This window comes from Homo sapiens, chromosome 5 (assembly GCF_000001405.40).
Source record: "Homo sapiens chromosome 5, GRCh38.p14 Primary Assembly".
In the NCBI taxonomy this organism is placed as follows: Eukaryota; Metazoa; Chordata; class Mammalia; order Primates; family Hominidae; genus Homo; species Homo sapiens.
The window spans coordinates 73,843,891-73,870,370 of NC_000005.10; the positions used below are offsets into that span (position 1 = coordinate 73,843,891).

The window sequence follows — 26,480 nt, forward strand, 5'->3', positions numbered from 1 at the left end:
TGTCACACCATGAACGTCCCCTATCTCCCATAAAATTTAAGTGAAGTCTTATAAAATGATTTGTGCAACATATTCTGATATTTTCTATTCTATATATTTTTTAAAAAACTCTAGTTACAACCTAATGAATTGATTTCTTATCCCACTACTGGGAATTAGAAAAATAATATCGTAAAACAAGAACCTAGAGGTTATCCTGAAGAATATTGCCTGTGCCACCAATATCTTAGGTTAATAGCTTAAATAAAAGTAGTAGCCCCATTTGAATGAATAGAAACAATGTTTTATAGTATGCAAAATAAAATACTGATACTTCTAGGATGTATTCATAGTGATGATGAAATGCTGTCTGTAACTGGAAAGGCTTGTGTTAAAATCGGATATTATTGCGGGCTGCCAATCATTTGAAGAACTATTTTCCACTAGTACAGAGATCACAAGTTGAAAGACAAGTGCTGAGGTACAAGACATGGGCAAGCTTCAGCCCGCCTTGAAATCTCCTTCCGTCTCAGATTGTTGTACTAGGAAACCACGTAGCAACTTGAAATACCTGTAATTATTAGATTAGTTCAAAAACTAATCTGTGTTTGCATTAGAGGCATAGTAGAATAAGACCAGGACTCATACCATGTATTCAGTTAACTTACTGTGTCCATTAAATAGCCTATTTTTTTTTAAATAACCTAAACAGGTTAATTCAAAGTTTCATTTTCTGGTTCTTGTATTTCAAAATAAAAAAAAAAGCCTATGTTTTTTTTTTTTTTTAAATAACCTAAACAGGTTAATTCAAAGTTTCATTTTCTGGTTCTTGTATTTCAAAATCAAGACAGTTTCATTGTTTTGTTATTAAAATTATAACTCCAGAACTGTAACAACCAAAAAAAAAAAAAAAAACCACAAAACACACATTTGAAATGCTTCGTGCATTAACATGCACCCAGGAAAGCTGTTGGCCTCCAAGTTTGAGTCGTTTAAAACGTAATGTTATGGAATAGACCTGGGATGTAGAGGGTCAAATTCTTTCCTTTTAATTTCATGGTTTATTAAAGTTAAATGAGGAAAAAAGTTGTTGTCAAGCAGCATTACTACCTGGTTCTAAGGTAGAGTTTTCAAAGGAATCATTTTTTTTTTTTTTTTTTTTTTTTGAGACGGAGTCTTGCTCTTTTGCCCAGGCTGGAGTGCAGTGGTGTGATCTTGGCTCACTGCAAGCTCTGCCTCCTGGGTTCACGCCATTTTCCTGCCTTAGCATCCCAAGTAGCTGGGATTACAGGTGCCTGCCACAACAGCCGGCTAATTTTTTGTATTTTTAGTAGAGATGTAGTTTCACCGTGTTAGCCAGGATGGTCTCGATCTCTGACCTCATGATCCGCCCACCTTGGCCTCCCAAAGTGTTGGGATTACAGGCGTGAGCCACTGCGCCCAGCCTCAGAATCATCTTTTTTTAACCTCTAAAAATGATCATTTAGTATGACATGTTTGGGACATTGCACGACTCACTTCTGAACTGTGTCTTGACATGGTCCTGGGGCGGATGGGTGGGACCTTCACACATCTCTCCTTGGTGTGCCTCTGCCCTCCCGAGCTTCCCAGCTGAGGGACAGGGGAGAGAATGACACTTCTGCAGCTTAGTCACATGCAAATCCCCCCCAGAAGCTTCCCTGCAAACAGCCCAGTGACTCTGTTTCCACCAGCATTTAAAATATTTGATGGGTTACCATTTGGGACTTGCGATATCAATAATTATATTTACAAAACAGAAGTGGTGAGGTTAGTACTAACTCAAACCAGCTTTTGTTTCTTCAGGCATTTGAAATGTCTTTTGCCCCAGTCGTGGTGGCTCACTCCAGCAATCCCAGCACTTTGGGAGACTGAGGTGGGTGGATCCATTGAGCCCAGGAGTTTGAGACCAGCCTGGGCAACATGGCAAAAAACACAAAAATCACAAAAATTGGCCGGGCGTGGTGGCGCACGCCTGTAGTCCCAGCTACTCTGAAGGCTGAGGTGGGAGCATTGTTTGAGCCTGGGAGACAGAGGTTGTAGTGAACCAAGATTGTGTCACTGCACTCCAGCCTAGGCAACAAGAACAAAACTGTCTCAAAAAAAAAAAAAAAAAAAAAAAAGAAAGAAAGAAAGAAAATGAAAGAAAGAAATGGCTTTTGCTAGGTAGGAATGTTCATTCGGGGTAACATAAAATTTTGTTTAAAAAGAGATTTGGAGGGAGGAGAAAAAGGCTAATTAAATACTAGTTGGAAATTAAATGAATACCTATTGCACCCCCCCCGCCCCAGTGAAAGAATCTGGATTCAGAGAAGTAGAAACCAATGACGCTCTGTGTCCTTCCTTGCTTCTTTACTTACTTGCTGGCTTTGTGCTTTAGTTCTAGCCTTGATGCCTTGGACGCCGACAGTGAAGGGGAAGGGCATTCTGAGCCATCCCACATCTGTTACACTCCAGGGTCTCAGAGCTCCTCAAGAACTGGGATTCCTAGTGGGGATGAATTGGACTCTTTTGAGACTAACACTGAACCGGATTTTAATATCTCCAGGGCTGAATCCCTTCCTCTATCAAGTAATCTACAGTCGAAGGTATTCTTATTGCTATTAATTTGGTATATTGCAAGTGTGGAGAATATGTTGTCTGCATTTACCCATCTGTATCTGAAAGACATATTATATTTTATTCATACATATGAACTATTTTTTTGAGACCCATGTGATATCTGATTGAGTCTGTCTTTTTAATCTTTCCCACTCTGTTTTAATTTTTATAATCTTTACTCAAAATGGCTGATTTACATTTTCATTAATTCACCATGAGTACATACCATCTTTCTTTCACATACTTGGAAAATTTTATCATTTTACAATGATTTCTCCCATCATCTCTTAAGCAAAGGGAGAAAAACCGATAGTATTAAATGAGTTTAAGTGATCAAACTTGTTTTGCTCACGTAAATAATTGTATGGCCCTGATGATGAGGTAAATGATGTTAATAAGGTAGAAGTGATATTTATTGAGCATTTCTGGCTGCTTGAACTAATCCGGAATATCACAGATTTTGTCAACTTTTCCATAGGAGCCAGGTTTTATCTTGTTGGCTATTTCACATTGGAGTTTCATTTAGGTGTGCTTGTTTTTTTGTTATTTATTTACTTATTTATTTATTAAAAAACTAAATACATTGCTCTGAATGTAAGAAAGCCCTTTTGCGTTTGAACAGATTTTTTTTCCCTGTTTGATTTGTTATTTTCTACTTGTTTTCTTCTTAAGTTTACTTATTACTATAAAACAATGTGTGCTATGGCAAAACTTCTCTTTCTAACGTATGGTTGTTATGATAATACCTTCTTTTTGTAGCATGCCCTACAATATACAAAATATGTTTTATGTATGTACAAAATATATAATTGCCTCATAACTCACCTATTACATAAGTAGTGCTTTTATTTAATTTTATTTTTTGAGTAGATGAGATTCTGGAAGGGTTGGAGTTCTGTCCAGCTTTGTGTCACCAGCTTGGTGATAGACTCAGAACTCAATTCTGGGTCTTTTGAGCACAGATCCTGTATCCTTTACCCTCTGCTCTAAGACCTGCAGAGCTGCCGTAATCTTTTGCATCTGAAGGTCATGTGATATTTCTGGATAATGAGAAGTTTGTATGGTTGTTATGTAGATACTTCTTAGTTTTGCATGTTGAGTGGAACTGTGAAAAGTTCATCATTACTTGGATGAAAAATAATCCAGTCTCTTGAAACAGTTTCATGTTGCTCATTTTTAGGAAGAATCTGAACCATAAATATATCTGCCTTGCCTCTGTAATTAACCAGTATAACTTTTTGCCAAAGTTTTGGACAATTTTCAAAGTTCTATTGTCATGACAAATGGTTACCACGTATACATGACTCTGAAGAGGGCCCTTAGTGGCCAGCTCACTGTTTAGGGTTATAGGACAACTTGGGTTGGCCTTCTTGACGTCTAGGCCCGGTAGGTGCTCCCTAATAAGATAGGAGCCAAAGCCCAAGGGCCCTTTGAAGCAAGGTTAGGCTTCCATTTTTCAACTTTCCTCCAGGCTCCTTAACTAAACTAATGAAGTTAGGGTAACCATGTGTTTTTCCTTAGAGGAAACAAAAGAGACCAGTGCTCCTGAAGGTCAGTTTCTGATGGTTTAATTTTAGTAAAGAGTTTTGCATTATTTTCTTTTAGCCTTAACCTTAAGTGATATCTTAAAAATGCATGGGCAGGATCAGTCCTAAGGGCTTTATAGGATAGAAGTTGGGTACTATAAATGGCTTCAGTGGAGTTCTATTGCATATTCACTTAAATTTTCTGGAACATAAGAAAACTATGTTTTAATGATCTTGCCATCTTGCATTTTCATGTATGTTGCCAATATAATAATAGGAATAATAAGTAATTGGGACAACAGGAACAAAACCGGCAAGTCATTTTAAAGTAGTAATATTAAGGATGTATAAATTAGTGATATCCAAACATCCACCCCAGAAAGTGCTAGATGGAAGGTCTATCAAAAATTGAGTACAGATTGGAAGGATTTGTATATTAACTGGATATATTTTTCCCTAAATGTTGCAGCTAACATTATAAACTTAAATCATGGTTTGGAAGTCTAAAAATCTCTTATAATTGTAAGTGGCTATTCCACTATCCTCTAGTAATCCTTAAATATAGAAATCTCAGTTAATATAGAATTTTGTTAGAGGGCTACAGTAAAATAACAAAATAACTGACACCTCAGGTAAAAATAATAAACTCATTGTTGAATATACAAAGAAAAAGTCATTTGTCTTAAGTTTTCATTTTTAGCCAAGTTGGCTAGGATATCATAGTTGCATTCTATAGTATATACAGGAACTATTCCCCAAGCTGAAGGTTGCTGAAGTATTAAAATGGCAATAACATTTTAAAAATTGTGAGAGGAAAACAGAAACACATAATGAGATCATATCAGAAATGTTCAGGTTGAATCTCTTTTCAAAGGTGCAAATTTAGTAACATTTGAGGTGGTGAATATATATTTTCAGACCATGTATAAATTTTTAAACACTTTATTATAATCTCTTTTAGGAATCACTGCTTTCTGGAGTTCGCTCACGTTCTTATTCTTGCTCATCACCCAAAATTTCTTTAGGAAAAACTCGTTTGGTGCGTGAATTAACAGTATGCAGTTCAAGTGAAGGTAAGCATCATTTAACATTTGGCTTTGAAAACACTCTATTCCAGAACAGATTTTTCAGTTAGTATAAGTACATAAAATATTCAAGAACAGCAGACAAGAATTTTCCATTCTGTTTTCATAACTGGTTTTTCTAAGCCTGACAAAATTCTTTTCTTATTGGATAACAGCCAAATTTGATTTTGATCAGATTTGATTTTGATGAAATTACAAATACATGCACACCTCTCTGTTACTTTATTCTTTGAATAAAATGTTTTCCTCAAGGATAGTGTAAATTAGAATTGATTCCAGTTATATTATTATGAGGGCCTTAGAGGATTTTATTTGAGTAAATTATAAAAATTACTTTTGTCTCATATATACATTGCTAACATAATCCAACTCCTCAGAGCCAGAGTGTTGCAGAATGGATTTTCTTCTTTCTTTGTTTAGAAAGGGACTTTGGAGAGTTGAAATAACATATTTGTAACATGATTAAATATATCTCAACATTTTTTTGGTGGCAATGTAGGCAATTAGAAATATAACTTTTAGGCAATAAACTTAATTTAAATGTAGGATACATACAAAAAGGAGTGCAAATCATAAATATGCATCTTGAATTTTCAAGTGAATTCAGATCTATAAATGGAAAAATTATGTACAACTTAGAGCTCCCCTTGTATCCTCTCTAAGCCACTCCTCCCATTTTCACCTGCCCCCATTTTGAAATGTAATTATTTCATACTTTCTGTAATTAATATGTAATAATTGTATTAAAAAGCATATTTGAAAGTATTCATGCCAATGCATAATACATAGCATTATAATGAAATTTTTGTCAATGTCTTAGAGAATATCTTTATTGTCTATTATCCTTAAGGGACTTAAAAGATTCAGAAAGCAAGAGATGAACTTAAGTACTCTGAAGTACTACTCAAATATTTTCTTAAGATAAAATATTTAAAATAGGATTTATTTTATTCCCTCTCTTTTTTCTTATTCTTGCTTATTAAATTGTTATTTTGCATTTTTATGCCATGCAGAACAATACTGAAAACATAATCTTGGTGCTTGAAACAGCTATCCTAGAATAATGACATATATGCTAGATGTTCAATAAATATTTGTTGAATGAGTATGAGAAAAAGATAGATAAAACACAAAAGAAATGCTACCATGATTTTTGTTTTCCTTTTTCTGGGATGTACTGTTAGAAGAGAAGAGAGCAAGACTGATAATACATGTCAGTTTTTATTTTTGGATGGGGAGATGAAGAAAAGTTACAAGAGAAAGAAAGGATACAACTACCTTGAGAGGGCAGGATAAATAAGATGGATTGAATTTGTTCTGGATTTTTGTTTTTTACTTCATGGGTTCTTTCTAGGTCTCCAGGTCTCCCCAGCCTTAGTTTAGGTTGGTGTATTTTTAATAGCTCGACACCTTTTCACTGATAGTCCCAGCTGATGAATTAACCTCACATTGTTACTATTTGGAAAACATGTTTAAGTTTTCTGTGCTTCAAATTATGGCTTTGCCTTTAGATCTGTGGTCCTTGATCTATGAAGTCAGATATCTCTAGAGTTTGAAATTATTGACCACACAATTAAGAGGAAACTTATTGTTCACAAGGGAAAATAGCCCTAATTTACTTATTCTTTAATGATCAAGGAAGGGTGTCTTTACCTTACATGCAAGCCTGAAACCTTTGCATATGAGTTAGAATAAAAAGCTGATCTCAACTGCTTTGGTTTTCAGTAAACGAAACCTTATCTTTAGACGGTATATTTAAAGACAAGGCTACTTGAGTGAAGTTTGATACTATCCAGAAGGTAACAGTTAGAACCAGGCAATTTAGGTTGAGTCTACTCACTAAATATATGAAAATTCCAGTGGATAGACTTATATGGCTGCAAACATTTGGATTGATACCATTTAGGTCAGTCAATACCATAGGACTATGAAAAATAAATTAACCACTAATGAAGAAGGAATAATTTTATCTGTGTTTATGTAATCAAAGCACAAATGTGAAAGCTTGCCTAATGCAAAGATATATTCTAATGTTTCATTGTTTAGTCGGCTTGGATTAATCAAAAGTAAATTGAGGTTTGTGTTGCCATAAATCCTTTCTTGATGAGTTTTGAATAGTCCTAAAAATTTTCAGGTCTATTTGAACAGAGTCCAAGTCTCCTTATGTCCCAGAGGGAAGCTCCCATATGAGAGCTGTAATGCAGATATACAAACCTAGGATGCTTTCGGTCCTTTTTATTATTATTTGTGATGTTCTGTCTTCCTTGTCACTTCCAAAGAGTTACTTACTGTAATTTCTCATGCGTCTTTTTTTTTTTTTTGAGCCAAGAGTACGATGATGGCAACTTTATTTTTGATGTTTGTATACATAAAACAAAATCCAGTTTTATAATTCCCTTTGGTCTATTATAGATTTAGGCAGAAAGGAACATTGCCAATATTAAAATGATAACTACAGTCTCACCAAGGGGGACAAAGGGGTTCAGCATTTAAGAATTTGAGGAATGACGTAAACATACTTTTGAAAACGTTGTGAGCTGATGGATGGAATTTAATTGGATTTTGAACAGTTGGTGGCTTATTCTCTTGGTACTTCAGCCTATTTACCATAAGAATAGTGAGTTCTGCCTATGACTTAATTTGAGGAACACTTGATAATGGCTATAAAATAAAGGCTTCAAATTCTTCAAAGTAGATTTCCTATTACATACAAGATAGTATTAGGTGCAACATTTGATATTACCCATTTCAGGGGATATGTATTTGTTTTCCTCCTTATGTATCATTTCCCTTTGCAACCTAGTTATGCCTCTTCACTGTTCTGGATTGTGAGAGTGAAGGATTTGTCCCTGCCCTGTAGATGGTGTGCTCCACAGTGACTGCCCCCTCCTTCAGGCTCTCTCACTGTCTAAATCAGTGTCTCTACTCCACCCCTGTAGTAAGTATTTCAACTCTGGAAACAAGATGGCTCCAAGCTGCTTGCATGAACCTCCCTTCTGGCCCCCTCCACAAGTCCAATGAAAAAAATGGTCCTCCCTTTCCCATGAGCCACAGAGCACATCTCTGAACTTGCTGCTGCTAGGATTTTATGAGGACATTGCAGCTATATGAAAATTAACTCTTCTTATGCTGTCCTTCAAGACTTCATTTGAGCTTTGTTTAAAAGCAGTTATTTATTGGTTCTGTATGTTAGGGCATTAGTGTTATGAAGAATAGGGATGACTCTAGTGAAAAGTATCCAAAAAGATAGAGCTAATTTTCTGCACTTCTGAAAATGTTTGCTGTCCCTTGCTGATGCTAACTTAGTTCATGAAGTCATTAAATGTTGGCATATTTTGGCCATGTTTCTCCCTACCCTCTTTAAATTACAGAAAGTGATTTAAAAAAATCCAGAGCAATGCCTTACTTATATAAGGTAACTCATTTTCTCATTATTTTCTAGCTGGTAGTGTGTATAATGATACAATATGGTTGAGTATGCATTTCAGACTAACATATGACTGCCAGTTTGTGTGCCTTAGTTTTCATTTTATTGTTCTGTGTCTTGTAGAGCAAAGAGCTTACAGCTTATCGGAGCCACCAAGAGAAAACAGGTACTTTTAACTATTCCAATTTTCCTGAGGAACTGCATGATCCTTCTTTGGAAATGTCCACACATCATTTTTGCTATCTGTTCACTAGTTCATGAGAGGTTTCCATGTAACAAGCCTGCCTAAGACCCTTTGCTCCCTCTGGGATCTGTATCAGGATAGATCTGCCAGCCCTCCCCTTTCAGTCCTTGGCTGTGCAGGCCTCAGGATTGGGGACAGCATGTTCTGTCTGGGTATCTTCAAAGCCAAATACCCTCAAGGGGAGCAGTGTGAGGGGACCACCTGTTTTAGAAAGACAACATGTTTTCTCCAGCTCTATTCCACCATGACAAGGGGACTTACTTTAGTAACAGAACCCTGGGTGGTCAATGATAGAAAGTGCCTAAACATCCCTACTGTCTCTCTATGGATTTTTGCCTAGTAGCCCTTCAGCTGGAAACAAAGAATAAACAATGCAGAAGACTTTTAAGCATGATCAGTTTCCTGGTTGAGATGCAGATTTAACCTAAGCTTCTCTTTCTCCTAGAAGGTAAAACTGTTGTTGGAGTATAGCTTGGGAAGCAGACCAGTGTGCAAGCATGATTGTTGGTTTCTGTTGGTGTTGAATAACTAACTGCCCATGAGTCACACTGTGAAATAGCCCCAGGGTTGTATGCAAAACAAGTGCCAGAATGGCACACATGTTTGACTTTAAGAGACCATCTGAAAAGAGTGAAATGGTTTAATTTTGTTTGAGATTAATACTAAAACTTTGAAACGTTTTAAACGTTTTAGTATACGGATCAAGATGGGGTGTTTCGTTTTAAATCCTGGAATCAAAGTATTAATAAGAAAAAGCCTCCTTTGGATCATTTCTATTTTTTTTTTGAAACCAGAATAGAAACTTTCAAATGATACAAAAGAGGAAGATTAAGAATGCCCTTGAAAGATAGGATGATGATCAAGTTGACTTCGTGACAATGGCAATGAGGATGATGATAGCAAAAGCAGTAATTACTGACAAATATTGAACATTTGTATGTGCCTTGTACTGTTTTAAGCAGTTTACATTTATTATCTCATTTAAGCAATTTACTTCCTCATTCTGGAATTTGATCTTCATCTTGGTCATCATTTTGATTAACAGTCATCTTTTTAACAACTGGAAAAATAATGGATTGTTATCAAGAATTTTTTAAATTAAAAATATAAAAAATATTCATTTGTCATTAGGAGAGAGATTTAAGACCGAAGGAGCCAATGTTATACTTGGCTAAATAGTAGCCTATAAAATATTTTCACTTTGATGGCATCTTTATGAAGTTTCTTTTTATCTGGTTCTTCGTTCTCTGTCACTCTTGTTTTTGTTTTCTGTTCCTTTCTATTCTTTAATCTTTCTTGGTCCACATCCTGAAAGCATCTTACTCTCTCAGTCATATGCCTTGGTGTATCTAGTAGAGTGGATCTTTCATCTCACCCACTCTATTCCTGCTATCTTATCTTGTTGGATATGCCAATAAGATCCCAAGCCATACCTAATGCTTTGCTTTGGTCATGTTACAGGTATTTACCTGAGATGATGCCTTCTTTGATATTCTCTTATTTGTATTAATCACTTAGTTTCTAGAAAAGGGGACATCCATGTAAAAAATGAGCTCACTCTATACCTTGCAGGCTCATTTCAGCAGACACTCTGTTCTAATTTCTTAAAGATTATATGGCATGACTTGATTATTTTACTGCCACCATCTGTCTTAAATCTATTGTATGTATTTCCTCCTTCTCCTCCTCTTTCTTCAAATCTGAGGATCTGAGTGTTAACAGAAGTTCCACTGTGTCAATTTTCAATCTGCATAGCAGGAACTTCTTTCAGCCCTTTAGGCCCGGTGCGGTGGCTCATGCCTGTAATCCCAGCATTTTGGGAGGCAGAGGCGGGCGGATCATCTGAGGTCAGGAGTTTGAGACCAGCCTAGTCAACATGAGGAAACCCTGTTTCTACTAAAATATACAAAAATTAGCCAGGTGTGGTGGCAGGCGCCTGCAATCACAGCTACTCAGGAGGCTGAGGCAGAAGAATGGCTTGAACCTGGAACGCGGAGGTTGCAATGAGCCGAGATCGTGCCACAGCATCCTAGTCTGGGCGACAGAGCCAGACTCCATCTCAAAAAAAAACAAAAACCCAAAAACAACAACAACAACAAAAAAACACTTTAGATGCCAATTCTTTAAATAGATTAAGGGTTAAAATATTAAGAATCCATATTCTTAATATGTTTTAAATGTCTATTTACCTATTGAAAAGGCAGTACCATTAAAGGCTCTGAGAAGGGTTTGTAAAACTTTATTGTGAGTGATGCTATCGGTCATCAAACTAATAATAGAGATTAGACGTTCTTGTTCTGGGATGTTAAAAATAACTTAATCTTTCCAGATTCTTACAAATGTAAAAGCTATTTAAATTCTATTATGAAATTATTTGAAGGTTTTCTCTTCTCAATTATTTTCTAAAGTGCCTGATTTTGATATAGGTAAATATCACATAATTAAATTAGATATGAAATGAAGCAACCAACCTTCTACATTTGCCCAGAGGTTATACAGTATTACCCATCTTCATAATCTGATAGTGGATTATGACTATGATATTCACATTTCTACCAGGTTGGGTGATGGTTTAAGTTTTCATATTTCATAATTAATAATATTTTTAAAAAAGCATTTTTATGTTTACACTGTTATATCTCAGGTCTTATCAACCTCAGCTTAAAAAGTTGAAGTATCGGCTGGGCGTGGTGGCTCACGTTTTTAATCCCAGCACTTTGGGAGGCCGAGGTGGGTGAATCACCAGAGGTCAGGAGTTCCAGACCAGCCTGGCCAACATGGCAAAACCCCATCTCTACTAAAAATATGAAAATCAGCTGGGCCTGGTGGTGGGCGCCTGTAATTCCAGCTACTCAGGAGGCTGAGGCAGGTGAATCACTTGAACCTGGGAGCCTGAGGTTGCAGTGAGCCAAGATCACGCCATTGCACTCCAGCCTAGGCAACGAGAGCAAAACTCCATCTCAAAAAAAAAAAAAAGTTAAAGTGTCGTGTTGTAGAAGTATGAAGGATATATGATAAATTGTGCATTTGTAAGTTTTTAATCAATGTGGAAACTGTCGTTTTTTATATAGTCTTCTGTAACAAGGGAGTTGGGAGTAGAGTTGGGTAACCAATAATTAATTTTCTTTTATTTGCAATAGTTTAGTTGTGTTCCTGCTGGGAAGTACAAAAGGGGCTTCTTGACCTCAAAATCCACAGTGACCTAACCATTCTTTAATTCCGATATTAGGTCTCCTCATCACTCTTCTCTTCTCTTAGACGTTGGATAGCATTTGGTGGGGTCAAAAAAGGCCTTCTAAGAGAGGAGTCTTTTCAAACTCTCAAATGTATTTTTTCCCCCAATTTTGAAAGTGAGCCTTTTGAATATTATGGCACAAATTTTGCAAATTAGGATGTGTAAGACACCAGAGGTTTATGGGAAATTTCGGATTCTATTAACCAGTCAGTTATCCTAGGTAAAAATGACTAGAGGTAGCATGGAAGTAGAAAGGAAATTAAAAGGGTCTGAGATTCTTTCACTACTCTGTTGGCATAGGGTATGTTTAATTCTATTCACTTCCTTTTCCTTCTGCCTTTTAAAATGTTTTCTCTAAGCAGCAAACCCAATTTCATTTACTGTGCAGGCTTTAAGTAACAGGACATAACACTGTTCTGACTATACCTTTAGATCTACATGGTCAAGAGGCAGCTCTTAAGCCATGTATTTTTTTTTTCTAAATGCATTAATAGGTTTGAGCTCTAAAACCTAATATAGAGCTTAAATAACTTAAAGTTTTATTATAATATGTACCATATTAAAGTGTGGAAGGGGTCTTGGAAATAATTTAGTCTAAGCCTGATATTAATTACATAAGAACAATCAAAGTCCTAGAAAGTTGTCATTGAAAGCAATATTTTCACAAAATATAATGATATATATTTTGGTGTAAATCAGTGATTTTATTGCTTTTAAATACTTCCCAGAGATAAATGTGTTAGTTATCAGTATGGAAAGGTGAGAATTTTAGGGGGTAGGAGAGACTTTAGTTAGGAAATAATCACTATGGCAATCATCTACAGAAGTGTTACCTGGTTTGACATGATATTTAGGTTGATTTTTAATTTATTCTTTCCTCAGTAATAATAGAAATATAAGATTATCAGAGGAAGCTCTAGGGGGAATTGTAACTTTCATAGTCTGCATATGTTTTTTTCTAGAGAATAATTGTATTGTGGATTAGAAGAAAATAAACGGTGTTCAGGGTATTCATGGGTTGGGTACAGTTACCTCTACCTTGCTTCTTATTTTATGGAGTATCCATAGCCTCTCTCCTCCACAACCTAGAGAGTCTCAGATTGTACTGAGTGGGAGAGGCTGCACCGAGTGGCAGTCAGTCTGTTTCTCAGGCCGTATCAACAGAGGAAACACGTGTCTACTGAGTATTATCTCTGCGTTCCAAAAATAAATAAAATCCAGTTGCATATTGTTGGTTATTTGGCTTCTCTGTGCTCTGGGGAATTCTTACTAGCATAGTAAACAGGAAGTTGAGTGTTTTCAGGGTAAAATTATAAGTCTAAGGTTTATTTCCTCAATATTTTATTATGAAAATTTTCAAGTACACAGAAAAGTTGAGAGAATTATCTAGTGTATACCCACTTCCACCACCTATGTTCTATAATTGTTGACATTGTGAGATTGTTGCTCTAATCACATGTCTGTTCACTTATGCTATAGGGTGTATTTTTAATGAATTGTTTTTCTCTTTAGAACAGCCACTAAAACCTGAAAAAATACATACACATACATATATGTGTACACACACACACACACACACACATACACACACACGTATATGCTATTCTTCCTAAGTCATATGAGCCATGATAACAGATTCTGTTTTTGTAGAATTCAGGAAGAAGAATGGGATAAATACATCATACCTGCCAAATCAGAGTCTGAAAAATATAAAGTGAGTCGAACTTTCAGTTTCCTCATGAATAGGATGACTAGCCCTCGGAATAAATCAAAGGTAATTAAAGTGATTCACTTATTTTCTATAAAATATAGACATTTTAGTTTCTCAGCAGTTAGTATAATTTCCACTTTCCCTTTGAAATCACTTACCTTAGATTTTATTTACACATATTTCTTATGGAATATTGCTAAAGCCCAGAATATAACATTTAGGTGTTATGGTGTCCCTCTGTGTGCAGTCCTTATATTCTGATGGAAAATGTAGAGACTTTGCTCAGATGATTTCTATAAGAAAGTTGGCTCACAGCGTTTTCCTTTTCTCATTTTTCCCCACTTTCCTACTGCTGCTGCTGCATCTGAAGACAAAAAGCAAGGATGCCAAAGATAAAGAGAAGCTGAATCGACATCAGTTTGCCCCAGGAACATTCTCTGGGGTTCTGCAGTGTTTGGTTTGTGATAAAACACTCCTGGGGAAAGAGTCACTGCAGTGTTCTAGTAAGTTCTCAGGTCTATGTGCGCTGTCTTTGTTTTCATCTCCTGACAGTAACCTTGGGAAGAGGCTCATTGCTCAATACATTTACATAAACCTTTTCAGTGCCACACATATGACTGAACCGTTTACCAAGCAAGGACTGATACTGGTTAGAGTCAGTGTGTTTTGTCCATAACTGATAGCCTGTCTGAACCCCAGATTTGTATGCCTGTCTCCACTGGGATGTCTAAAGAGCGTCTCAGATGTTACATCTCCCCATTCTGTGCTCACCTAAAAGCTGATGCTCTCGGCCTTTAATGGCAACTTGATCATTCCAACCAGATGTTCATGCCAAAACTTTTGGAGTACATCTTTATACCTCCCATTTTCTCACATCCCACATCCAATCCATCAACAATCCTCTTGGCTCTATTTTCAGAAAACATATAAAACCAGGCACTTGTCACCCCTACCACTGATATCATTCTGGTCTAAAGCCACCATTTCTACAGCATTCCAACTGACTTCCTTGTGCTTTTACCCCTAAAGTCTGTTCTCAAAGCATTAGCCAGAGTGAGCTGGTAAAGGCATATATCACTGCGTTCAAAAAAATCTCCCAATGGCTTCCTATACCTCAAGTATAGACTGAAGTCCTTAAGTGCTTACAATGACAGCAAGTTCCCATGTGATCTGTCCTCCCCCTCCCTTACTCCCTCTGCTCCAGTCACACTGGCATCTTTGCTGTTTTTCGAACATGGCAGTCATGCTCCTGCCTTAGGGCCTTCTCTGGCTGTTCCTTCTGATTGCAACACTCTTTCCTCAGATACCCACACGGATCACTCAGACAACAGCTTCTCAGGCAGCCTTTCCTGATCTCCCAGTGCCTGGCTCATCCTTGCCCTCCTCCTGGCATTTTTTCCCATTATAATATTTACCACCATCTAACTTACTATACAGTTTGCATATGGGGGCTAGATTTTTGTCTGTTGAATTTGTTCTCTGCTATATGCAGAGTGGCTAGAACAATACCTTGTACATTGCAGGGGCTTAGTAAGTATTTGTTGAATGAAAGAATAATTCAGAGAAAAAGTAGTGAGGCGCAGGCAGGTGGAATAGATTTCATGGTATTTGTTGATCGCCAGAATTGTGGGAATATTTGGAAGGTGGGATGGGAGCACAAAGGGAACAGAGGAGCAGGGGAAGTTTACCTCTGAAGCTCCTCATAAACTTTGTTGAAAATGATTGAATTAAAAAATTTAGATGTATCTACAGCTGGACATCTGATCAAAATACAATCCACATATGACATTACAGGCAGATTGAATTTTCTTCTCACAGTTGACATTGTGTTTAATTATGCTGACTTTATTGCATGTTTGAATTTTGCTTTCCTTGAAAACTTGATTTCTTTCTTTTCCTGGATCTGAAGTAGCATCAGGCTGCTCAGATGTGGTTTAACTTCCTACATTTTTAGAGATTTGCTCCAAGTATCGTTTATGGGTTGTTTCTGGCCTGCCCACACTTCAGCGGTCAGTTCATTCGTGTGATGGGCATGTGTTTCCTAGGTTGTTGTTCCACCCTTGTGGGTGGACTTGTGGACTTGAGCCCTTCGATGCATCCCTGGCCACACCCAAGACCTTTCCCTCCCCTGTTTTAAGACAGACTCAAGTTGGGTAATCTTCACCCACTGCTTTTAAGCCTGTCTCTGCCATTTCTTCATTAACCATCTGCATTTTGACCTCTGTGCATACTGCTTAACAGAAGTTCTGCTTTTGATGGAAACTGAGAGTCACTTTCTAGTCAAGTCTGAGTCTTTCCTCATTGTTCAGACTCACTGGTTTCCTGTTTCCAGGTCGACATCTCTCCTTTCAGGGATGTTTCCTTCTTTTCCGTGGCACACTACTCTTCTGTTTTACCATCTGGGTTGTCTCCTTTTCCCTAATACTGGGTACGCGCAGAAATTAGTTCTTGGGCACTTGTTCATTTTTCCTTGATTGTTTCTAAGTATAGTCATCCAATCTTATGTCCAAAATATCATATTTAGACCCGTTACTCCTGTATTAATATCTTCTTTCCTCGCTTTGTATTTCCATATTCAGTTGCCCAGAGGCTGAGTACCCATGTAATTTATGGCCACTTTGGAGAATTATGGTAAAAACTACAGGTATAAACTAAGACTGTGGCAGGCACAGGGGCTCGTAGGGAGACCATATGTGGGAATCATCACTCAGAGATTTCATCGTCTTCGAAACCCAGTGTGTCTAAAACCGACCTCAAAGTCCACGCCCAGCAGGACATACTTGGCCTGGCATCACAAGCTTCAACCCTGGCTGCTTTAATTCCACTGCCCTCTTGTCCCTCCTGTCAATGTCACTCAGTCACTCTTTTCTTTCCCTTCTCACTGTTGCCACTCTGGGAGATTCTCATCACCGCCTTCTAGAATACTGGGAGGGAATTGTGCTAGTTTCTTCCTTTCCAGGTATGTTCATCTACAAGTTATGATCAGTACTTTTCCCACAGTAATCTTTGTAAAACACCACTTTCATCAGCCCACATAAACTTAAGGACCTCTCTTGTGTTTACTGGGCTAAGTCCAAGCTCTTCCCATGGGCATTTGGTTCCCTCATCTGGAACTGCTCATTAGACCCCTAGGCCCCCCTTCAGCCTCAGTTTACAGTCTGAGGCCCCACCAGTTCCGTTGCCCTTTCCTCCCACTGCGTGTGATTTCCTGCCTCTGCTATTTTGCCTGTGATCATCTCCTTCCTCTCAGTTTCCCCCACTCCTCTGCATAGATCCTGGTTTTTTACCTGCTCTTTGGAGGTCTTCCCTGACCACTGTGGTCCAAACTCCTGCCTATCACTTTCATATCCATTTAAAATTGGATTATTTACAGTCTCCTTGAGTTTTAACTATTAAAAGAAACAAAGTTATTTTAGGGCCCTAATCACACGATGACTCCCGTGTAGGTCCCGAGTCACTCATGCAGAGCTGGCGACCAGTAAAGCCTAGGGAGCCAGGGCTCACTGAAAGGGAAACTTTTGTAGTAAAGAATATGTTGGTTCATTGAGTTGAGTGGATGTGATGGAAATTGCTGAAAATATCTAGGATACATTTAGCTTTAAAAACAGTCATTTCTTAAAAAAGGAATAGTATTTATAGAAGTTATAAGGTTTAAGCAGAAACTTTTTATAATATTACCACTTAGAGAAAAAGACTATTAATATTTTAATGGAGTTCCTTATAACCATAAAAAACTATGGGAGCCTTGCTCTGTTGCCCAGGCTGGAGTCCAGTGGTGCAATCTCAGCTTACTGCAACCACCGCCTCCCAGGCTCAAGCGATTCTCCTGCCTCAGCCTCCTGAGTCGCTGGGACTATAGGCACATGCCACAACACCCAGCTATATGTGAGATTTTAATGCTGTTTCATTTGATGCTGACATCAAATGTATTTAACTATTTGTTTTTGAACATTTAATTTTTTCCTAATTTTTTAAACAAATAATTTGGCAATGAGCATTCCTTTGCACATATCATTGTCCACATATTTGGTGATTGCCTAAGATTAAATTCTAGAATCAGTATGAGTAGGTCAAAGTGTGTATTTGATTTCCTCTTTTACCCACAACTTTTTTTAGAAGTAATTTCAAAATTTACAGTTACTTTTTGGCGGGGGGAGAGGGTGGTTTAAACTTTGCTTATTCATATTAAGGTTTTTACATGGAGCAATACCAATATGATACATACAGTCTCTGCTGTTTTGGTTAAATAATCTTTTTCCATGGGTGCATTTTTGTTTTTAATTGTGAAGGTTAATATTCCTAATCTTAAAAACAAGATATGATATAAAACAACACATAGTATTGTGTAAGTATTCAAAATTCTTGGGTAATTTTCTTCTTGTTAAAGCCTGAGTTGCTAATTTTCCACAAAATTATATTTCTATAAAATTACCCTTGCTTATAAATAAGTTTCTTGGCTATTATGTTGATGTTACATTATCTGTTACACATAAATTTATATATCATACCTTCATTGCAGATTTAACCTTAATCAACATAAAATTATCCTTTTAACTTCATTAGATGCCTTTTGCATTTAGTTTTACTTTGTCTAAACTTAATACTCCTCCTGCTTTCCATTTGTTTGTATTTCTTTCAACTATTTTTGTGTTTTCGATTTGAGGTGCATGTCTTTAATTTAGCTAGAAGTAATCTGTAATGTAGCTGAAGGATGTTGTTTTATAACAGGGTTTTTAACATTTTACATTTAATTTTACTGCTACCAACATATCTTTTATAGGTCCTTGCTCTTTTCCTTGATGTCTAGTTTAGCTATTTAGACCATGTGTTGTTTGCTTTTGTCTTCTCCAGGGATTTGGCAAGATACTCTCTTTTAATGTCAACTAATAGTAGCTTTAAGGCTGTGGAAGGCTAATAATTTAATATCTTTTTATTTCCCTTATGTTTACTCTCCCCCGGCCCAGCCTCTGTTAATACACTGAATTAATTATTATTCTTTTCCTAAGATTATTATGTTTAATCTTTCAAGTATAATTTTCTATTTCAAAAAAAAGTTGACACTTTTATTCAGCTCTATCTCTACCTACAGTTTTTTAGATGTGGTTCTTTGTTTAGCTTGTTTTACTGCTCACTTTTGTTTCTTTAAAAAAAAAAAAAACTACAGTGAATCCTTCTTGAACTCCTAATTTTGATTCTGTCCTCAAAAGGCTAAAATAGGAGTGATCTGTTGATCTGAAACTTCATGTACCAAGGGACCTATTTTTTTTTTTCACACAAGAAAAACAACTTAGTTAAATAAATTCTTGGACCAAAGTCTTTTCCCTTCATTGCTTTGCCAACATTGCTGCAACAGATGTGAGCATTTATTATTAAAGTGGAAAAGTCTAGGGCCAACCTGACCCTATTCCTTTGTTGATAACCCTTGTCTTCTGCCTTATGCTTGAGGACTTTTCATTTTTTAATCATATGGATATTATGAGAATATGTCTATAGAGTAGGTGTCATTTAATTATTTTTCTTAGGAAACAGTGAGAACTTTTGATGTGTCCTTTTGGGCGCTTTTTCAGCTTTATAGAATTCTTGTCTATGGTGGCTTTGACTGTCACTGCTTCTGATCTAATTTTTCTGATCTCTTCCTTGGGTAAGTATGATTTCTGCTATCTATGTTCGTTGTATGACATCTATTTTATAATTATACGCTTCCTCTTCTCCATATTCTGGAGGGAGTCTTTCAAGTGTAATTTCATAGCTCGGCTTTGATGTCTGTGCCACACAGATTCTTCTCATTGTCTCTTTTCCTTCCTTGCGGTCCTTGCCTGTCTCATGAAGCTCCATTTTCCTCTCCTCCTGCAGGCCAAGTCTCACATCCTATTCTCCCTCCATGCACTTTCATTCTATTTTACTGAGGCCCCCGTCTTCTGTCTCTTATCAAGAACAATTTTCAAGTATCTAAAGTTTCTTTCCTATTTCTGGATCTAGTATTCAGTGGTTGCTTCTTCTGGTGGGTTGTTGGTGTAACTTTGTTCTGTGGTATCTTAGGGTATCTACATTTTCCCTATTATTTACTCACTCTGCAATGAGGAGAGGGCTGTCTGAATCTGATGCTTATCAGCCGGGCCAATGCATAGATTAGCCTTGGGCCCTGCTTGCTGGCCACTGGCGTGTTGACTGAAATGCCTCTTCAGACCTGCAGCCTGAGGACAGTTGTAGGGCGCAGCTTCCTGCCCAGTTCTTGTTGGGTCACTGGCATTTATGCAGTGTGGCTTTGATGGACCAACATGGGATCTTCCACTCCCACAGAAGGATTCATTCTGCATACATTTCTGATGCACCCAGGCTCCTCGGTCTATGCTACAGTGTGTGTGGGATGGTGATGTACAGGTGGGAGGGGAAAGGACCCAAAGACAACAGCTTGGCAGCAACCAGTGCCCACATAGTGCAGCTTTCCATGAGGACAGCCTCAGTGTCTGTGTTCATGGGCAGAAAGGGGCAGGGAAAGTATTCCCTTACATTCTTCCAGTGAGATGACATTGTTTTATGACATGTGCCCATTGTTTATGATATAAAACAATGGGCACAGGGCTAACATTTCTCATTTAATTAGACTACCTGAAACTTGTGGTTAGTAGGAATTCTTGCCAAGACCTCACAATACATTTTTTTCAGCATTGTTAAGAGTTTGTTTTCTTTCTTCTGGTTGTGGTAGGCATTTTACCCAGTGTGGGAGTGGGGAGTTACTACCAGCCAGGTGTCAGAAATCCCATGCAATGTAATGCATGTAATAGGAAGTGAGTTCTCAGGGAGACACAGAAGCATTGCAGAAGTGTATATCATTCATAACTTCAGATTTAGTAATTGATAAGATCCTGTGTATAAGGGGAGAAATATCTCCAAAGAGATTAAAATAATAGCATTCTGCTTGTGCTTGAGTGGTGAGGATACATGTGATTTAAATATTTGTCTTTCCTTCTTTAGTTTTCCAGATATTTGTAATGTTTATGTGTTTTTTTATAATGACCAGTGAAAGCATGATGTAGTCTTATTAATTTCAGACTAATTAAGTAAGATGGATGCTTTTGTATCTTTTCCCTTTATTTCAGACTGTAATGCAAATGTGCACAAAGGTTGTAAAGATGCTGCGCCTGCATGCACCAAGGTAATTGCTCAGTGATCTGTGAATATATATGTGGCATGGTTGCTTCATAGTATCTATTTGAGCTTTTACTCTTTTTTATTACCATCTAGATTTATTTCTAAAGCGATCATGATAGCGATAACATAACATATGCTCAAAGTGTATAGTTATTTGCTTAACTGTACACTGTTAGAAATAGAAGGAAAGCTCAAGTCCAGATATTTGTGTTATATGCTGTGGCTAGGTTAGGCTTTCTGTTGAGACCTGCTTGGTTTACCAGTGCAAGCCCTGGGTACCTGCAAATGAAGATCAGAGTAGTAAGTCACAAATGTCTGCAAGCCTCACAGTCACTGGAAGACCTGTGACTACACAGATTTCTGGGCCCCAATTCCAGAATTTCTGATTCCATAGATCTGAGGTAGGGCCTGAGAATGTGCATTTCTAACAAGTTTGCAGGTGATGATATTGCTGCTGGTCCTGAGACCTCAGTTTGAGAACCACTGGACTAGAAGAATGTTCTCTGTAGTTGGGAATGGGCTGGAGTAGATGAAGGTGTCTGTGATTCTATTCCTTTCTTTTCCACTCAGTAGTCATGTCACAGATGCATGTGAGTGAACATGATGATCCTTCAGGGGGAAATTTGCAGTTGCAAACCTCTGTGTCAATAGGAACACATATTGCGTCAGATCACAGAGTTGAGGGCTGTTTTGAAGGTGACATTTCAGTGCTACAGGTGGTTGTCTCCTATAGTCAGGAGGGATAGCAGGAGGTAGAAAGAAACAAGAAGGAGAAAGGCAGCATTGATAGGAACTTTCAGCCTGGGTCTGGACACATGAGCTGGAGACCTCTGGTTTCTGTTCCCCTGAGGCTTTTAATGAAGCCAGGAGTGTTCAGGAGGCGCATGTTCACAAGGCCCCTTCATTATAACTTGCACATTTTATTGTCACATTTGACTCTTCATTGCATTTAATGTCTTTTGCTTTGAATTCCTCTTGGAAATAAAATAACAAAAATGATATAGATAAGAATTCTGTTCTGTGTAACTATGTGGATATTCTTATAGTCTAATGATACTTTGATCTTACTTTATGTGTTTCTAATATTCTTTACCAGAAATTCCAAGAGAAATATAACAAGAACAAACCACAGACCATCCTTGGAAGTAAGTGATGTAGAAAACGACAAGAACTTTTAAAAATTTAATACATACTATACATTTTTCCATTATAAAAATATCTCCTTTTGTTTTCTCATTTATCCAGTTATTTCTTCTTTCATAACATATGCTTGGCATGATTTTTAGTTCTATAAAGTCGTCAAGAAGGCTATCAACTTCTAGGTCAACCTAAGAACTTTTGTGTTGTGTGTACCATATGATCTTTTATATTAGAGAGGGCTATAAGGAGAAGGTATTAACGTGTTGCTTCAATTCTAAGATGCTGTCTAGTGGAATATGCTCTGCTGATGTATTAATAATCCTTCAAGGAAAAGAGAAATACTACATGAAATGTACCTTACTTTGTTTTCCTAGCAGTAGCGTAGTATAGCAATATTGCAGTAATATATTTGTCTATACAGATACACACCACATTCTTCTTAAGAATCGCCATGTTTGATGGAAAAAGTCTTCAAATTTGGAGTCTGTAGATTCTTATCAGTTTCTGTTGTCCATTATTATAATTACCTGGTGTTTAATTAGCTGTGCTTGAGGCTGTGATCTCATTAGCTCCTTTAGAATGACCGTGAAATTTCAAGGCATACTGGAGTTTGGTTTGCATATTTTAAAATTTGGTGGCTCTGTTTTTCCTGAAGTGTATATTGCTGAAATTTAAGCAGTTTCTCTTTAAAATAATTGGTGCCCTCTGACAGTTCTTTACATTGCATACAAGAACCAATCACGCCAATGTCTCCTAAATTTGAAAATCTCTTGCTTTATTGTGAGAGATTTTGTGACGCCTTCTGCCTAAAGTTGTGTTGCTTGACATGTGGCAGGAATTTTAAGTGCATGGTAACTTTTCATTTCCATGTAACAAAGTGTGACTGATATTTTAAAACCACTTTAATCGGGACAATTATGCATGCAAATTTGTGGCAACATGCTATTGGGTGTAATGTTATATTAGGTTAAGTTGGTGCAGGTAGTAACAACTGTCACATCACTCTCTTGCCTTGACCCCAAAAGTCTCTTTGATGATGTCAGTTATAAGGGGCTTCTCATTTTCATAGGGTTAAATGTGAAAATAAATAGTATCTTAGAATTGATGAAATACCACATATTACTCCTCTTCACATGGGAGTCATAAGAACAAATTTAACTTATGCACGTGTAAAATGCTTTGTAATGTCTGGGATCTTCCTTTTGCTTGAGAATGTATATGCTACACAGCTATAATATGGGACCGAAATGTCTTCTGAGTCATTTATAGTACACATCAAATGTAAATGCATCTGTGCCCAGAATATTTTAGAACTGACCAGAAAAACACAGAAGCCCTATTTAGTTTTCCATGTGTGAGAGAGAATAGCCCAGCTTGGCTTGCAGGCTTCATTTGCCTGAGATCCTTATACCATGAAGAATAGGCTCTCCAGCATCATTCCATTCCATTGACGTGTTCTCTGTGTGTGGATGCTTGTTTATACACACAATATGCATTCAGTAACAGTACTAATAACACCTTGCAACTATTTAAAGCTGGCTGTAAGGAGTACAAGCAGTGATTTATGGGAAACCTGGCGCAGTATTTCCCCATTCCATTGTCTTGTTTGTTTGTGCAATCCCAAACACCCACAGTCTCCAAGTGGAGATGCGGAAGCAGGCCTGCAGCATGGGTGTCAGGAGGGTGTAAAATGAAAGGGACACTAGGAGCAAGTGTCAGGATCTAGCAGGGAGACTGGTTTTAAGGCAGAGCATGCATCAGATTACAAGTAGTCATTGCAGGGTTTAGCTTTCTGGCTTTTAAGTGACTACTTTTACTTGTAATTACTGACCTGGAAACCACATGAAGCATCTGTTCTGATTTCCAGATTCTTCATTTAGAGACATCCCACAGCCTGGTCTCTCCTTGCACCCTTCTTCCTCCGTGCCTGTTGGATTGCCGACTGGAAGGAGGGAGACTGTGGGACAGGTCCATCCATTGTCCAGAAGTGTTCCAGGCACCACCTTGGAAAGGTAAGGCTGAGTGTGTTTTTACATATTAATGGCTCAGAGAGCTTCTGGGGCTAACTTTGCTCCCCTCCCTCTCTCCTAGCTTCAGGAGGTCAGCCACATCCTTGGAGTCTGAGAGTGACCATAACAGCTGCAGAAGCAGGTCTCATTCTGATGAGCTGCTACAGTCCATGGGCTCTTCTCCCTCTACAGAGTCTTTCATAATGGAAGGTGAGGAGAAGACACACTTCCATTTATTTGTGTTTTTGTTAGCATTTGCCAAAATGACACTGTCTGAAGGAAATAAGATTGAAGCATTTTTTTTTTCTTTTTCAAAGAAGTCTGTTTCAGGGTGTCTCTTTGGTATAGGTTCTACTTTTTAAACGAATGAAAATTTAGCCCCAGAGGAGAAAACCAGAGAGTGACCAAGGAAATATGACGTAAATTTTAAATAGACATATTACTAAAAGAATGTCACAAGCATAACGAAGAGAAATGAATGAAATATATTGTGTGCTTATTATTAAAAATGTTTTATAGCTATTGATGAATTATAATAGGATCCTATATCAAAAACATACTTTAGTTAGTTAAGACTGGTCTTCTTTGGATCTCTGAGATACTTACCCCATCTGTTGCCTCCTAGGGGAATAAAAACATTTTGTTTTGTGATGGAGTCTCACTCTGTTGCCCAGGCTGGAGTGCAGTGGTATGATCTCGGCTCATTGCAACCTCGAGCTCCCAGGTTCAAGCGATTCTCCTGCCACAGCCTCCCAAGTAGCTAGGAGTACAGGTGCGCATCACCACCCCCAGCTAATTTTTGTATTGTTCGTAGAGATGGGGTTTCACCACATTGGCCAGGCTGGTCTTGAACTCCTGACCTCAGGTGATCCAACTGCCTCGGCCTCCCAAAGTGCCGGGATTACAGGCATGAGCCACTGTGCCCAGCCATTAAAGCATTTTTTAAAGCATATTTTATAGAGCAGGACTTAATCTAGGGAATTAGTTTTTGTATACAAGCAGCACCAGTAAGAAGGAAAACCAAATGGAAGGAGAGTAGTGACAAAAGAGAGGAGTGGATTCTGCCCCAGGAACCTGTTTTATTTTAATCTTAAGTCTTTAAATTCATTGTCATCTCATTTGTACTGCTTTGAGCTGGAACCTCTCTAATGAGTGCCATTTGGGTAAATAGGGTTTAGTTTTCCTGAGGAGTGTGTGTGTGGGGTGGAGGGGGGTGGGGAAGGGCATGTATGTATGTGTGGTTTGTTTGTAATTTCATCAGAAAAATCTGCACTCATTTGTGACTCAAGTACTTAGACGCTGCTTTGTGTCTTAGCAAGTCAAGGGCAAATCAAATGGATGAGTACATAATTCAGATTTTAGTAAACAGTACAAAATAACGCGGGGCAGAAGAAATTGGTGTGTTCCAGATTCTGTAGACACATTATGGACTCTGTAGGTTACCAAAAATAAAACTAAAATAGAGCAGGCCAAAACAAGCAAAAGAATCTTCAAATGTCTTTTTTCCTCCATATGAACACTCTTTTTAAATATTTGATTCTTTGCTGTCATGAAAGCTGTCTTAATTTGGACCATTTCATCAGTCCAGTTTTAAGATGTTTCAGTCTGGCTGGGCACGGTGGCTCAGGCCTGTAATCCCAGCACTTTGGGAGGCTGAGGCGGGTGGATCACTTGAGGTCAGGAGTTCAAGACCAGCCTGGCCAACATGGTGAAACCCCATCTCTACCAAAAATATAAAAACTAAGCTAGGTGTGGTGGCACATGCCTGTAATTCTTGCTACTTGGGAGGCTGAGGCAGGAGAATTGCTTGAACCCGGGAGGCGGAGGTTGCAGTGAGACGAGATCGCGCCATTGCACTCCAGCCTGGGCGACAGAGAGAAACTGTCTCAAAAAAAAACAGATGTTTCACTCCATGTTAATATGTTTTGGTTTAGTAGTTTCCATGTTCATAGCAGATTTATTTAGGGTGAGGAATCCATAGACAAATATACGAAGGTATATTTGTGCTGCATTATTGTACTTCTGGCTTTTCTTTTCTAAACACACATTAGATGTTGTGGATTCTTCTCTGTGGAGTGACCTCAGCAGTGATGCCCAGGAGTTTGAAGCAGAATCTTGGAGTCTTGTGGTGGATCCCTCATTTTGTAATAGGCAGGAGAAGGATGTCATCAAAAGACAGGATGTCATTTTTGGTAAGCGTTTCAAATATGCTCTTTGGGTTGAAGCAGTGCGGTTCAGAGAAAAGAACATGGAATTTGCAACTGTGCAGAGTTGGGTAAAATCCCAGTTCTATCATTTTCTATTTACCTGATCGCAGACAAATTATTTAGATCACCTAGACCTTAGTTTCTCC

General features: G+C 37.8%; 1 protein-coding gene across 5 annotated transcripts in view; it reads left to right on the plus strand.

Annotated features, from left to right (window-relative positions):
• ARHGEF28 (Rho guanine nucleotide exchange factor 28) overlaps positions 1 to 26,480 on the plus strand; it is a 315,795-nt gene that overhangs the window by 217,695 nt on the left and 71,620 nt on the right. For all 5 annotated transcript variants that reach the window (NM_001080479.3, NM_001177693.2, NM_001388076.1 and 2 more), the window contains 10 exons: positions 2,378 to 2,585; positions 5,086 to 5,197; positions 8,760 to 8,802; positions 13,766 to 13,889; positions 14,197 to 14,329; positions 20,927 to 20,982; positions 22,075 to 22,123; positions 23,986 to 24,130; positions 24,210 to 24,337; positions 26,179 to 26,319. In NM_001080479.3, the coding sequence (NP_001073948.2) occupies positions 2,378 to 2,585; positions 5,086 to 5,197; positions 8,760 to 8,802; positions 13,766 to 13,889; positions 14,197 to 14,329; positions 20,927 to 20,982; positions 22,075 to 22,123; positions 23,986 to 24,130; positions 24,210 to 24,337; positions 26,179 to 26,319 (1,139 nt within the window). The remainder of the gene's footprint in view (positions 1 to 2,377; positions 2,586 to 5,085; positions 5,198 to 8,759; positions 8,803 to 13,765; positions 13,890 to 14,196; positions 14,330 to 20,926; positions 20,983 to 22,074; positions 22,124 to 23,985; positions 24,131 to 24,209; positions 24,338 to 26,178; positions 26,320 to 26,480) is intronic.